The 15526-nt window shown below is 42.2% G+C and overlaps 1 protein-coding gene across 17 annotated transcripts in view, besides 1 other annotated feature; it reads right to left on the bottom strand.

Moving 5' to 3' along the window:
• The window catches only part of PARP15 (poly(ADP-ribose) polymerase family member 15), a 61398-nt gene that overhangs the window by 18227 nt on the left and 27645 nt on the right, over positions 1 to 15526 (bottom strand). For 2 of the 17 annotated variants that reach the window (NM_001113523.3, XM_005247159.5), the window contains exons 2-7: positions 14766 to 14885; positions 10091 to 10327; positions 7553 to 7780; positions 4964 to 5042; positions 3657 to 3806; positions 978 to 1040 (exon numbers count right to left, since the gene is read on the bottom strand). In NM_001113523.3, coding sequence (NP_001106995.1) covers positions 978 to 1040; positions 3657 to 3806; positions 4964 to 5042; positions 7553 to 7780; positions 10091 to 10327; positions 14766 to 14885 — 877 coding nt within the window. Of the gene's footprint in view, positions 1 to 113; positions 403 to 977; positions 1041 to 3656; positions 3807 to 4963; positions 7781 to 10090; positions 10328 to 14765; positions 14886 to 15526 lie in introns of those variants that run through there. The other 15 variants (XM_011512476.4, XM_047447580.1, XM_005247160.5 and 12 more) reach the window with 10 other exon arrangements.
• Positions 10565 to 10774: an enhancer, noted in NCBI's record as "active region_20380". NCBI's record gives its function as "activates an Ori minimal core promoter by ATAC-STARR-seq in GM12878 lymphoblastoid cells {active_cell/tissue: GM12878}" and the evidence as "EXISTENCE:reporter gene assay evidence [ECO:0000049][PMID:35858748]".

Genomic DNA, 15526 nt, shown 5'->3' with positions numbered 1-15526 from the left:
GTGGATCCCTGCCCATCCCATCCTGCCCTCCTGAGGAGCACCCATGACCAGGCACTCCCTAGGGCCCCTCGGGTGTCCCTCCCACCCTCCCCTCCCAGGCAGCCTCCTCAGGCTTTTCCAGCTTGTCCAGCCCACCTTCATCCTCTGCTCCTGCCTCCCAGGCACAGCGAGCTCTCCCAGTACTCAAACACCTGCTAACGTCCTCATGTTAGTAATCAAATATTACCTTCCTTTGCTGTCACTCCAGAACTGTATTCACTCCAGAGAAATTTCTTAATCAGAGGACAGCTACTAAGATAGGAGTTTCAGGCATTGTAGCAGGTCGGTTGTGGGAATACATTGTCAAACATGGTGCTCTATGACTTCTTGAAAGCATACTCATAGCTGAGTGTCTACCCTACTCTGCAAGGGATATTTTGAAGGACAAACAGTTTATAATCACTACCTTAGGTTCCCCACTCAAAGTCCACACTCATTCATAAAAGGATTAGAAGTTGGCTATATGCAGTTGTGCTGGAAGAAGTAGAACAAGTTTGGGGAAAGTTTGTACAGCACTTCACAGTTTACAGAACTTTTCACATTAATTGTTCCTTCTGATCCTCAAAACCACCTGTGGCACAGCTTTCCCACACTACTTATTAGTAGAACTTTCCTACTGATGAGAGAAGCAAAGCTCTTAGCAGTTAGATGACGTGCCTAGGATCGCTCAGTAAATGGCAGAGCCTGGATTATTAGGACCCAGGCCTGGGTTCTTTTTACTACTCAGGAAGTAAGAGACAGATGAGATGGTGGGATGAAGAACCTCTCCCCCATAGCCTCCAAGTTCCACCACCTCTGCCTGCTCTTCCAGTGAACCAACCTTCTTGCAAAGTTTTGCTCGCTACTTACTCCACCTCCAGTCCTCCTGTACATCCTCTCACTGTAATCTCAGCCCTCTGATTTTCAAGTTTGTAGTCAAAAGTAACATGTGCCCATACCTAGTACAGCACATTCACTTTCCACAGCTTGTCCAGCACCTTCTAAAATAGCTCTTGACACACCTAAATAAGACATGTTAATGGTAAAAGGCATCAGTTAGAATTCAATAAGTGGTTATAGTTTTTGTACATTAGACTTCTGCTCAACTCACCCTTTTGTGCATAATCCATTGACCACCCCCACGCCCGACCAACTGCTCTTTCTATAGCAACCTCCACCCAGTGGCTGATGAACAGTCTGATCTCAGTGCCATGGAAGTGCCCAGGAGCTGAAAGGCTGGCGTCTGCAACTTTACCTTCTCTATTTATACAGGACTGTTTTTGCAGTTATTTGAAATTTTTTGCATTCTACCCTTATTATTTTGTAAAAACGAATGAAACTATAAAAATAAAAGTTCTGATACTGAGAAGCATGGATCTCAAAACTGTAATAAAATCAAGCACTTTACTAAGTTCTTTGATTCCCTGCCCTGCTCAGTTAAACAGCTGGTTTCACTCCAGTGAATCTTCCAGTCAAAGTCGTAGCTTCACCACTTTGGTCAAGTCTAATGACAGCTGGGTCGAGTCGTTAAAAATATGGACTTTGCATTTTGACAAATTGGGTTGAAGTTGACTCCAGTATTTACTAGCTAGTATGTGACTAATAAGTTCCTCATCTGTTACACAGAGGCTAATATGGCACTTCCCTCACAGGGTTATTTGTACATTAAAAGAGATAATGGATGAAAAATGCTTAGCACAGAAGCCGGCATGCAGAAAATATTGAATGAATGTTAGTTGTTTTATCATTATGAAGATATCTATATCTCTATATCCTTGATTATATATGTGTTATAAAATGTCTCTTTTTAAAAAAATCTCTTTTCAATTTGTTTGTTCTGGTCTCTGTCTTTGCTGTGAAGATTTTCCTCAAATGTCAAGTGATCTTCACCAGTCCATTCCTATTTAAGAGTGAGCTTAGAAGCTCTATGCAAGAAGGCTTGTTGACCAGCGGGCTTCAGTGTAAGGCGAGCAGGCAGCACCTCCTGTCTGCTGCTCTGGGATCCATGCAGGAGAGGGGCTGGGCACTCGATGTTTGGTCCACAGATGTTCTCTTAAACAGTTTTCAGCCTAGCTCCTCATCTCACCTATGCCTGGTGCCCTAAGTCCAAAATCCCTCTGGTTCTGTTTCTCTAGAGAATAAACCTCCCATCTCTGGCCAGGGAAGAGCAAGGAAAGTTACTGCTGTATAGGATGGAGGATCCAATCAAGTAGTCTAACTGCTACTGATCTGGAATTTCATTCAATCTTATTTTCATCTCTGTACTTGCCCCCTGCCTTCCCAGATACCAGCAGCCTCTAATTCCTGTGTCTCTGGGGCTACTCTTCTCGCCTGCAGGTACTAAATTTTCTCTACTCCATGGCAGTTACCACCCTTGGCTAGCAGCTCCCCATCGTCTAAAAATTTGTTATCTTTTGTTCATAGTTGTTTTCCTTCCAACGTTCTTTTTTCTTGTGTGTTTATATCCTTTTCATTCCTTTACAGTATACAACTGTATACTGTAATACATAATGGAATTCCAAAAGGGGACAGGGATAAATGCATAGATTCAACTTAGCATGTTTCAAATAACCAAATGTTCTTTATGTCTACATTTTAAATGACTGAAAAATGGAATGACCAATGAATTAAATGGATATTCTACAGATTCACTTCTGCATGGTAAGTTCCATAATATTTTTCAACTTAGAAAATATTTAAATTCTATTTCCGTTTTATTTTACCCTTTTAATTTAAAAGTCAACATTTTATAATATACAAAAGTTTAAGAGGGCTGGGCATGGTGGCTCACACCTGTAATCCCAGCACTTAGGGAGGCCAAGACAGGCAGATCACCTGAGGTCAGGAGTTCCAGACCAGCTTGGCCAACATGGCAAAACCCCATCTCTACTAAAAAATAAATAAATAAATAAATTAGGGGGTGGCACATGCCTGTAGTCCCAGCTACTCAGGAGGCTAAGGCATGAGAATCACTTGAACCCGGGAGGCAGAGGTTGCAGTGAGCCAAGATTGCACCACTGCATTCCAGCCTGGGCGACAGAGTGAGACTCCGCCTCAAAAAACCCAAAAAGGTTGAGTGTATGTGTATAAGTTATAAATTAATAGACATATGAGGGGAGGGCCTGCCCGAATGTGTTACTATAATGGGAGTCAAACATGTCACGGAAAATAAAGAAAAACGGTTGCGTTTCATTTCTCGGTCAGTGTAATGCAGAGAAGAGAAGAGCTACCGAAGGTGAGTTCTAAATGCCAAGTAGGTTACATAAACAGGAAAGTAAAAATAGAGGAACTTAGAGGTACTAAACTATACTTGTGGAAATTCAACAGTTGAGAGCTGACACTAAGTACAATGCGTCAGTTAAACTCCACCTTTATATCAGTTAACACCCCATCTAATCCTCTCCTGGGAAATAGGTGTTTGACAGGCAAAGAAACTGACACTCAGAGAGGTTAAGTGACTTGTCCACAGCTACACATTGCTAAGTGGCATAGCTGGGATTCAACCCACGTCTTCCTGAGTTCAGAGACCACATATTTTCTACAACACTCTCTGTCCACTCAGGGCAAATATTAGCCACAATTTCCCTTCCAGAAATTAGTCATACTAATAATTACAATATATTGCTTAAATAAAGTACCTGATTTCCGATTAAATGTCCTTGCTGTTGAGTTTACAATAACATCTACCTGTTCAGTGGCTATATCTCCAGTAGCAACCTGAAAAGTAATTGCACCGATTTTCATTTCATATGCTGTGAAACAAGGCTTAGAGACAGTCCCGACCACACCTGAAAAGAAAGAAAATAGGTAAAGAATGGGCTGGCTCAGCTTCTGGAGGAACAGCACTCATCTTGGGGCCCTATTCTCTTCCCAGCTCAGCCCTCTTTCTTTTCCCCCAACATAAACCGAAATATTGCCACATCTCCTGGCCTCTTAAACAGCTTGGTTTTCTTTTTAAAGGAAATTAGAAAATAACGCTTTGTGACAGTAAGCATATCTACATTTTCTGAGTTACATAGGATAAGGCAGAAATATCCGATAGTGTCAGTCTGTTTACTGGCAAGAGCTGCTGGGGTGTCAAGAGAGAGGAGTGAGAAAAAAAAGGGAGTGTGAAAAGGGCACTGTCCTTTCTTGCAGACAACACTGCTAGGAGGGTCTTTTATTACCACAGGTGTAGCAATATAAAGGCTGCTCCAAAATCCCAGCACTTTGGGAGGCTGAGGTGGGAGGATCACTTGAGGTTAGGAGTTCGAGACCAGCTTGGTCAACATGGTGAAACCGTGTGTTTACTAAAAATACAGAAAAATTAGCTGGGTGTGGTGGTGCACACCTGTCATCCCAGCTACTCGGGAGACTGAAGCAGGAGGATTGCTTGAACCCAGGAGGCGGGGTTTGTAGTGAGCCAAGATCACGCCACTGCACTCCATCCTGGGTGACAGAGCAAGACTCCATCTCAAAAAAAAAAAAAAAAAAAAGACTGCTCAGAGGAAGTTACCTTTAACCTGTTGGCATATTACTCTCCACTCCACACTCTGAGGCTTACAACTTAGCTGTGCCACTTCAGCTCATCCCTTAAACCCTTTAGATCTACCTTTCAACGTTTATACAGTGGCAACAGAACCACCTGCCACGGGGCCATTGTACACGTTAAATAATATACTATATATGAAAGCAATCAGTAAAGTATAGTGTGCCAGGCACGGTTTAGTTATTATTTTATTACCATTTCTTAGAAACTCTGGTTTCATTACCATTAATTTGGTTCATGTTAATATGCGATTGCTTCTTTGTGTGCCCAGACAATGGGACATGCTCTAACACCTCCCCCATCACAGATTTGTTCTTCATGTGAATTAGCTTTGCCTACTTCTACTGGACTTCAACTACCACTGAAGAGTTGCTCAGCAAAAGGAAATATTTCCTTAGCAGAACGACTTTACCAGACCTTGGGTATCTCCTGCCATGGGAATCCTGGCCTTGTTGGGATTTATTCTTGACCAGTTAGTGAATTCATCTAAAAATGCCTGGAAATAGAAACAGTTACTGACTACAACAATATTGTGTAAAAATATTAATCCAATTCTTTGGAGCATTGATCATCAGATATCAAAGAGTTGATAACAATAGTTCTCAAAATATTTCCTCTTCCCTCAGAGACTTCTTAAAGGATTGCGGTTCAACCTAGGAATTTTCTCCACAAATAGCAGTGCTGATTTGCTTTACTTTGTGAGTAAACTAACACTGTCCAGGCAAGTATGTCAGCAGGGGTGCTGACTGTGGCTCTGCAGGAAGTCACATGCCTTTTTTGTGACCACTATCGTTATCCCTCCTCTTTTGAAGCCCCATAATTCTAATCTCCTACATCCAATAGGCTGAGGGAAGTGTAGAGTATTTGTAGGTGAGCAGGGGGCAGGGCAACAACGTTCCTTGGCATCTTTGGCTGTTAGGTACATTCTGGGGTTGATTAACAACAAATACATACAGTATGCTTCATCTCTTAGGTCCAGCCAAAGCCTCCTGAATGAAAACACGAAAATCCACGTTAGAAAACCTCAGACATTGAAGTTTTGTTTAGAAATGGAAAAAACAAAAAGGCATTTTGGTCGTGTGAGTGATAAAATTGAGCAATGGGCGACAGAGTAGAGTTATAAAGTTTCACTTGGGTTGTCTTCATCCATTTTCTTTCTTTTCAGGTATCTTTGGGACTGTTTCTACTTTTTCTTTTTCTCTTTCTTTCTTTCTTTTCTTTTCTTTTCTTTTTTTTTTTTTTTTGCAGACAGAGTCTCATTCTGTTGCCCAGGCTGGAGTGCAGTGGCATGATCTTGACTCACTGCAGCCTCAACCCCCTGGACTCAACTGATCCTCCCACCTCAGCCTCCCAAGTAGCTGGGACTACAGATGTACACCACCACGCCCGGCTAATTTTTTGTATTTTTTGTAGAGATGAGGTTTTGCCATGTGGCACAGGCTGGTTTTGAACTCCTGGACTCAAGCAATCCCCCTGCCTCAGCCTCCCAAAGTGCTGGGATTATAGGCGTGAGCCACTGCACCAGTCCATGTTTCTAATTCTTGGTTAACAATGAAATTTGGGGCAGTTACTTTCCAGATTGCTACTGAAGATGTCACCCCAATAAAGGGCAGATGTTATTGTGAACTCAACAAGGACACAGATATCACGAACAGTTTGCTAATAATAATTTCCCCCAGTTTATCTTTGAGCAAAAAAATATGTCTCTGGATATTTTATATTTACCGGGGGAAAAAAACTAAGAACCTTTGGGGGTAAATGTTGTTTTTTAAAATATTATTATTATTTCCTATGGATAAATTTGCTTACAAACTACATCATGCAATACTTTGGAGTGTTTCTGGGGAACTCTGGGAAACATCTCTGGAAAGACCACACTTCCATCCAGAATGGGTAAGTATAACTAAGAACTTAAAAAACAAAATTATCTTTGATCCAGTTTAAGTGGTGATGTTAGTAAGTTGTAGCAATTGCTTGTCAGTCCTTAAAGTTGGGTAATGACTACTACCAGTTTTGGGGGTTTTCTATGTGCTAGATATCATGCAAAACACTTCAAATACACCCGTTTTAATAGTTAGAACAATTCCGAAAGGTGTTATTACCACACTCATCTTACACTTGATAAAACTGAGATTCAGGCTGGGCACAGTGGCTCACGCCTGTAATCCCAGCACTTTGGGAGGCTGAGGTGGGTGGATCACCTGAGGTCAGGACCAGCCTGGCCAACATGGAGAAACCCCATCTCTACTAATAATACAAAAATTAGCCGAGCGTGGTAGCACATGCCTGTAATCCCAGCTACTAGGGAGGCTAAGATGGGAGGATTGCTTGAGCCCAGGAGGCGGAGGCTGCATTGAGCTGAGATCACGCCGCTGCAGTGAGCCGAGATCACACCACTGCACTCCAGCCTGGGTAACAGAACGAGACTCTGTCTCAAAAAAAAAAAAAAAAAAAAAAAAAGCTGAGATTCAGAGAGGTATGTCACCCAACTTTTAAATGGCAAAACTGAGATTAAACCTAAGTATACCATTCTTCTAATGTCAGTGGGAACTACTTAGTTAGTGTGCCTTGACTGCTTCTCCACTGCTGAATATGGTGCTGCTATTTCTAGTTTGTAGACACTCACAGACTTGTGTAGACTGGTCTATGCTATCCAAATAACTAAATCCTTGAGGCTTCTCTCATTCTGCCCTTTCCCCATAGATAAAGCCATGACTTAGCTTTCATGTAGTCAGTGTTAAAATGTCTAGGCCATTTTTATGCCAATAACTTTCCACTTCTTTCTAAGAATGTATTTATTACAGATTAGCTTGTCTCTTGATGAACTGTCTAGGAACATGAGTTATCAGTGTTGGCTCATAGTTAAGTCATATGACAACCTCCCATTAGCAACCATCACTTATAGGCACAGGATTAGAAAACACGGTTATTCCTAGATCTATAAAAACATCTGAATGCGCTTGGGTTCACTTGCCAGAATTAACCAGATGGGATATGTAACCATACCTGACAGCCTTCATCGTCATTTGTATATACCAGAAAGTGGACTTCTTGTAAAGGGCTAGTTATCGGCCTTGTGCTGCTACTGTATTCGAACACTTCTGAAAGGATTAGTTTAGCAAAAACAGCTTTGGGAAACTGCAAACTTCCTGTTCCAATCATGGGAAATGTGATTGATGAGAAAGATAGCACTTCTACAGTTGTCAAACATTTCTTGATTATATTTGCCATGATCTGAAATGTGCAAAGTACATTTACATAAGTTAGGGCTTAAGCTAGCGGAAAACAGAAAGAGTTGTGGTCCCAGCAACTCTGACAAGGACCTCTCTGCTATTGTTGGCTTAGTCAGGGCCTGAGAAGTCAGAAAGAGGAAACAAAAACAGGGCAGAGTACTTTCCAGAGAGAGTCACACTCATTCAGGAGAGGCGGGTCCAACAGCGTGGGAATGGCTGCATAAAAATGGTAGCTCAATGTAACTAAAAGTGGTGTTTATGAAGAGTCTTTAACAACATGCAGTATTTATGTTAAGTTAAAAAAAAAATGTATTGGCAGGGCGCGGTGGCTCCCAGCACTTTGGGAAGCTGAGGCAGGCAGATAATGAGGTCAGGAGATCGAGACCATCCTGGCTAACACAGTGAAACCCCGTCTCTACTAAAAATACAAAAACAAAATTAGCCAGGCGTGGTGGCAGGCGCCTGTAGTCCCAGCTACTTGGGAGGCTGAGGCAGGAGAATGGCGTGAACCTGGCAGGCGGAGCTTGCAGTGAGCCAAGATTGCGCCACTGTACTCCAACTCCAGCCTGGGTGACAGAGCAAGACTCCGTCTCAAAAGCAAAAACAAAAACAAAAACAAAAAAACTGTATTTAAAAATGTTTAAAGAGAATATTGGTTCAAAAAAAAAAAAAAGAGAGAGAATATTGGGCCTAACACAGTGGTTCACACCTGTAATCCCAGCACTTTGGGAGGCTGAGGTGGGCAGATCGCTTGAGTCCTTGAGTTCAAGACCAGCCTGGGCAACATGGTGAAACCCCATCTTTACAAAAACACAAAAATTAGCCAGGGATGGTGATGTGTGCCTGTTGTCCCAGCTACTCGGGAGGCTGAGGTAGGAGGATCACCTGAGCCCAGGAGGTGGAGGTTGCAGTGAGGTAAGATCGCGCCACTGCACTCCAGCCTGGGCAATAGAGTGGGACCCTGTTTCAATTAAAAGAAAAAAAAAGAAGAGAGAGAAAGAGAATCTCAACTAAGACATAAATATGCTGTCCAGTTGTGGTGGCTCACACCTGTAATCCCAGCACTTTGGGAGGATGAAGCAGGCAGATCACCTGAAGTCGGGAGTTCAAGACCAGCCTGACCAACATGGAGAAATCCCATCTCTACTAAAAATACAAAATTAGCCAGGTGTAGTGGCACATGCCTATAATCCTAGCTACTCGGGAGGCTGAGGCAGGAGAATTGCTTGAACCCGGGAGGCGGAGGCTGCGGTGAGCCAAGATTGTGCCATTGCACTCCAGCCTGGGCAACAAGAGCAAAACTCCATCTCAAAAAATAAATAAATAAATAAATAAATATGCATAAAGTCATAAAGTTGACTTGAAGGAAATATAGTAAAATGTTAACTAAAGTTACCTCTTAAGGCCAGGCACAGTAGCTCATGCCTGTAATCCCAGCACTTTGGGAGGCTGAGGCGGGTGGATCACTTGAGGTCAGGAGTTTGAGACCAGCCTGGCTAACATGGTGAAACCCCGTCTCTACTAAAAATACAAAAATTAGCCAGGCCCCGTGGTGGGCACCTGTAATCCCAGCTATTCAGGAGGCTGAGGCAGGAGAATCACTTGAACCCGGGAGGCAGAGAGGAGGTTGCAATGAGCTGAGATGGCGCCCCACTGCACTCCAGCCTGGGCAACAGAGCGAAACTCGGTCTCAAAAAGAAGAAGAAGAAAACAGTTATCTCTTGGTGGTTGGATTATTATTTTTATTGTCTTTTTGTACTTTTCTATATTTTCCACAATGTATTTGTATTACTTTTTTATATTCTGAAAAAAAGTTGGGAAATTAAACTGGTAGTGGAGGTGGGAATGATGTTATCGAAAGAAGGGCACTGACTCTTTTTTCTTCTTCACCACAGTGCTGGGCGCACCTCTTTGCTGTACTGAAAGATTATTACATTACAACTTAGACACCACTCCTGTAGAATCCCAATGAATGTTACTACCTCCAAGGGTCAATTACTTGGAAATAACTGGTAGTTGTGATGAATTCTCCATGGAATGTAATAAAGATTTCAATAGATAGACAGGGTTCAATCAATACGAGGGTTTCACAGCCTAGGGCAGACACTTCTTTGTTGTGGGGGCTGGTGTGTGCATCATAGAATATTTACCAGCATCCCTCGCTTCTACCCACTAGATACCAGCAGCAGTTGTAACAACCCAACTGTCCTCTGTGGGGCAAAATTGCTTCCCTTGAGCACAGATCTATACCACACCAGAAGGAGATTCCCAAAGCCACCCAATACGTTGGAGAACTAAGAGCGTTCCCTACCTGCCAAGAAGTCTCTGCTCCATTATTCCAGTATGGAGCCACAGCATGGAGCACAGCTTTGCAGTCCAGATTGCAGCCGCTTGTCATGAATATGTTACCTACTTTTTCCTCTGTTTCCCGCCTTCTGTCATCTAACTCTTTCTGGAGCATGGGACCAGCTTTCTGCAAAAATGCCCGAGATAGTGGTCCTCCTCCAAGCTGAAGATTCATGGGAACGCTGTTGACAATGACATCGGCCTTAACGAAAATAGCAACAGTTAGAGATTGAATCAATAATACATAATGATGGAGCAACTGTAAATTTACTAAGTATTGTGGGGTAATGTACAGATATGTTTTGCCTGTCATACTAACATGTCAGCCCCACCCTCAAGGAGCTTACAGTCTATTGTTAGCACTGAAACACCATGATGAGGTTACTTCCAAAACTTAGACATTAAGGAAATATATTAACCACTGCTGTGAAATCAACACGTAATGAGTCAGAGTAGAGCTATGAAAATGAGTCAGAGACCAGAGGCAGAGAGTCAGAGACGAAGACTGAGAGAGAGAAATGGAGAAAGAAGAAAAATGAAAGTGAAAAACAGAGACAGAGACAGACAGAAACAAAAACACAGAAAGATTGAGACAGAGAGACAGGGGAAGGGAGAAAGAATTGCTCTCAGCCTGGCAGGAACTGAGAATACTTGTTTTGAATTTAACAATATACCAAAAGAAAGACTAGGTCAATGTGAAGGAGGGTATGGTCGGCCCTGAAGGCCTTGGCAAAGGAAAGTCACTAAGGTGAGGGTAGGCAGTATCCATTCTAGCCTGTCCAGGGATGTTGAGTTCTCCAGTGTCAATGCTAAGGCTGTTCCTTTGGTGAAGTGAGGGTCATAGCCTAATGCCATGAGATGTTACATATTCAACTCATAACTCCTATTACTCAGATTTTGTGCTCACCAGAAACCTTCTGATTCCCTGGTAAGTTGGGAGTAAGAGGAGACAAACACTCTCATCGTGTGGCCTTTTTTTTTTTTAATTTTTTTTTTTTTAAACACGATTTCGATCTGTTCCCAGGGCTGGAGTGCAGTGGCATGATCTCGGCTCACTGCACCCTCTGCCTCCCAGGTTCAAGCAATTCTCATGCCTCAGCCTCCTGAGTAGCGGGGATTACAGGCATGTGCCACCATGCCTGGCTAATATTTGTATTATTAGTAGAGATGGGGTTTTGCCATGTTGGCCAGGCTGGTCTTGAACTCCTGATCTCAAGTGACCTGCCCACCTTGGCCCCCCAAAGTGTTGGGATTACTGGCATGAGCCCAGCCTGATCATGTGGATTTTTAATGTCCTGGTTCTTTGGGGAACTCTTCTTCATTGTAAATTAAAAGATGTCTATGTCTCTGGGACATATAATAGGTTATATTTCTCAACCTAATAATCGGCATTCTTGGATCCACTTATATAATGTTAGTTAGCATATGAGGTATTATATGAAGTTAGCATAAACTAATCTCAATATCTGAGAAGCCCCTTGCAGAGACAAGAGTGAGCAAGCCATCCAAGAAACAAAACAAAACAAAACAAAACAAAATTAGATCTAGCCCATGTTCTCCTCACTCCCACTTGCAGTTTCACTCTCCATTTACTGATTCCTACACAGTTTAGGGAAGCAATATATTAACATGTAAAAAAATAGGCTGGGTGTAGTGGTTTACTCCTGTAATCCAGCATTTTGGGAGGATGAGGCAGGAAGATCACTTGAACCCAGGAGTTCAAGACCAGCCTGAGCAACACAGTGAGACTTTGTCTCTACAATTAAAAAAAAATTAGCTAGTGGCCTGTATTCCCAGCTACTTGGAAAGCTGAGGTGGGAGGATTGCTTGAGCCTAGGAGGTTGAGACTGCAGTGAACCGTGACTGCGCCACTGCACTCCAGCCTAGGTGACAAGGCAAGACGCTATCTCAAAAAAAAAAAAAAAAAGTAACCTTGTTGTAATGTTTAAATCAATTCAAAATAATCAAAAGACATTGTTAAATATACAAATATTAGTTGGTATAGATTTCAAAAAAGATAGGAAATCATTTAGATTGGAATAGTGAGTGAAGGCTTTTTAAAGGGGATAAGAATTTCAGATTTCAGATAGGCCTTGAAGAATGGCTATAATTGGGTCAGGTAGAAAGAAGGCAGCAAGGCATTCAAGGTGCATGGAATATTTAAGAAAGCACAGGATTGTGGCCGGGTGTGGTGGCTCATGCCTGTAATCCCAGCATTTTGGGAGGCCAAGGCAGGCAGATCACCTGAGGTCAGGAGTTCGAGACCAGCCTGGCCAACATGGCAAAACCCGGTCTCTACTAAAAATAGAAAAATTAGCTGGGCATGGTGGTGGGCGCCTATAATCCCAGCTACTTGGGAGGCTGAGGCAGGAGAATCACTTGAACCCAGGAGGCGGAGGTTGTAGTGAGCCGAGATCACACCACTGTATCCAGCCTGGGCGACAGAGCAAGACTCAGTATCAAAAAAAAAAAAAAAAAAAAAGAAAAGAGAAAGAAAAAAAGAAAGCATGGGATTGTGAAAGATCAGAAAGTAGTCCAAATTTAGCTAAAGCAGAGGTTCAGTAGTGAGAAGAGCGGCTGGGAAGAGATTTAGGGCCAGACGATGGAGTACTTGGAAAGCCACACTTTTTTGGACTTTGCCCTATAGGTAGTAGGAAGACACCGAAGATGTGTGTGCAGAGAAGTACCTGCTAAAATAATGTTTTTGGAATATATATCAAACAGTGATGTAGAGGACAGATTAAAGAGTGACAAGGAGGTAAGGGTAGTACTGAGGCGTGATTGGAGGTTGGGAGTGGTGTGTACCGAAACACGGGTAGACAATGGCAATGAAAAGGAAAGACATGTACATGAGATATTTTGAAAGAGGGCTTATTAGGGCTTGGAAACTAACTGGATAGGAGAAAGAATTCAGAGAAGAAAGATAAAGAGGATTCCAAAGTTTACACAGCACCATCCAATGGTAAGAATAGGTAAACCCCAATATGAGTTGACACGAAATTTATAATCAACTCAGTGGACTGCATAGTGAAAAGACCTTGGTTTCTTTATCTATAAAATGTGGGTAAGTCATATATTTCTTCATTAGGTTGTAGTACTAATTGAGTAAGGTAAAATATAAAGTGGCCCATCATAAGGGGATAATGATAATAGCTATCATTTTTTTGAGTCCTTATTATGTGCAAGGCAGGGGATAAGTGGTTTATATGAATTATTTCATTTAAGCCTCATAACAACCTTCATATCACCATCATCCATATTTATAGATAAGAACTCTGAGACATAAGATGGATATTGACCAAGATCAGTGGCTGCTGAGTGGTGGAGCAGTATTTGAACCCTGCCAGAACTGACTTTAGAGTTGGTCTGCTTACCCACCACACTATGCCTATAACTAGAGTGAAAAATAAATTTACTGTCCTTTTATATCATCCAGTTCTTCTGGTTATATCACTCACCAATCACTCTCATAATACTCGGTTGCAGAGCTCACTATTACCAGTAGCCATGGCAATTATCTTTCTCATTGCAAATGAAATAATTACAATTCCAGTGTTATAAGTAAGTCTCTTGAGTTTGATTAGTGTGAGTCAGATCAATTCTGTGTAAAATGACAAGATGCAACTTCTCAACCTGCTGATTTGAGGACAAGGTCCTGAACCCACGTGACAGAGGACTCTAAAACTCTAGAGAACATGAAGAAAGCAGCCGGCTGCCTCCCCTCTGCCATCCCATTAACTACAGCAAATGCAAAGAATATTTCCAGTGGCTCACAATCCAGAAGAGTCTCCCAATTTCTCAGCAGAGTTCTCTTTCTGTTAGTCCTGAATGTCTGCCATCTGAAGGTAAACATCAGGTGTCCAAATGGTGGGGCTATAGAATTCTAAGAAGCATCTGAACCAGTGATTCTCAGCCCTAGCTGCATAAGATAATCACTTGGAATGCTTTCAAAAACTATTGTCGCCTACACCACATCCCTGACCAATTAAAGGCAGGATCTCTAGGGGTGGGGCCTGGGAGTCCGTATTTTTAAAAGGTCCCCCGGATGATTATGATCTGCAGCCAGGATTGAGCACGATGGATGTCAACTATAGGAGGAATATAGGGCCTGTATCTTCTGTTAACTGGTGATTCCAAGGAAGAGGAAACAGTAGGAGAGGAGGGGTAGGCAGGAGCCAGGCTGAGGATTTAGCACCTCTTCTGGTAACCTTTATCCCTCCTCATTCTTCCTGTGTTTCTGCAAAGTGCTCAGGCAGGAGCAAAGGCGTGTTTGTGAAGGGTGATTCTATAGTGTGCTGTACACATATCTTCCTCACTAATGCTGACTGGTGCAGGAGAGAAAAATAGAACTGGGTTGAGAGTAAGTCAAGATCAGTTACAGAGAAATAAAAGAGATAGATTTGCAAACTCTTGTTTGTGGTTAAACTTGAACCCCTCCACATGAGTACATGTGGAAGAATATAGGGGATGGTAAGTATATATCTGCATAAACTTTAAGTGGGTTTAACTTCTCAAATTTATCTTTGATATCTTTAATCTTTGATTAAGATAAAGAACAAATTAAATCATGGAACAACTCACAGAACAAGTTAAATAGATCCCACTGTTCCTTGGTAGATTTATTAAATGGCATCACCTACCCAGATGTACAGAACATCTCCACTTATCAACTTGAGATTCAGACCTTCTTTGGTTTGGATTGAAGCTACAACATTCCTGATTGAAAGACAATCTTTCTTGCTGAACTTGTTGTCTCTGGACTGTGGAGAAAACAGTAAAGCATTACCAGCAATGCCAATTTCAAGAGTTCTCTTAGGCCAGGTGCGGTGGCTCAGGTCTGTAATCTCAGCACTTTGGAAGACTAGGTGGGAGAATCACTTGAGCCCAGGAGTTCAAGAACAGCTTGGGCAACATATTGAGACCCTGTCTCTACGAAAAAATAAATAAATAAAAAATTAGCCGGGCTCAGTGGCATGTGCCTGTAGTGCCCACTACTTAGGAGGCTGAGATAGGAGGATTGCTTGAGCCCAGGAAATCAAGGTGGCGGTGAGCCATGATGGCACCACTGCACTCCAGCCTGCGTAACAAAGCGAGACCCTGTCTCAAAAAGATGAAAAATAAGTAAATAAGTAAACTTTCCTTATAGGTGTTCATATAGAAAATAACTATTACATTTCACAGAATTCTCCAACTAAACTCATAACTTGGCTCTGAGATTTAAAAGCAGATAGTTTATTATTATAATGTTTGAATATCAATTGTATTTAATATCCCAAATGCCAGTGAGTTTTTTACTTATTCCCCCCAAGAATCCTAGCATAGCCAACCCTGTCTGTATTCCCCAGCCCTTACTACTTAAATGTACCCTGGATATATTTCCAACTGTATTTCTTGCCTGGAG

Source organism: Homo sapiens, chromosome 3 (assembly GCF_000001405.40).
Source record: "Homo sapiens chromosome 3, GRCh38.p14 Primary Assembly".
In the NCBI taxonomy this organism is placed as follows: domain Eukaryota; kingdom Metazoa; phylum Chordata; class Mammalia; order Primates; family Hominidae; genus Homo; species Homo sapiens.
Note: the sequence above shows the minus strand (reverse complement) of the source record. Positions and strands in the feature narration are given on the sequence as shown.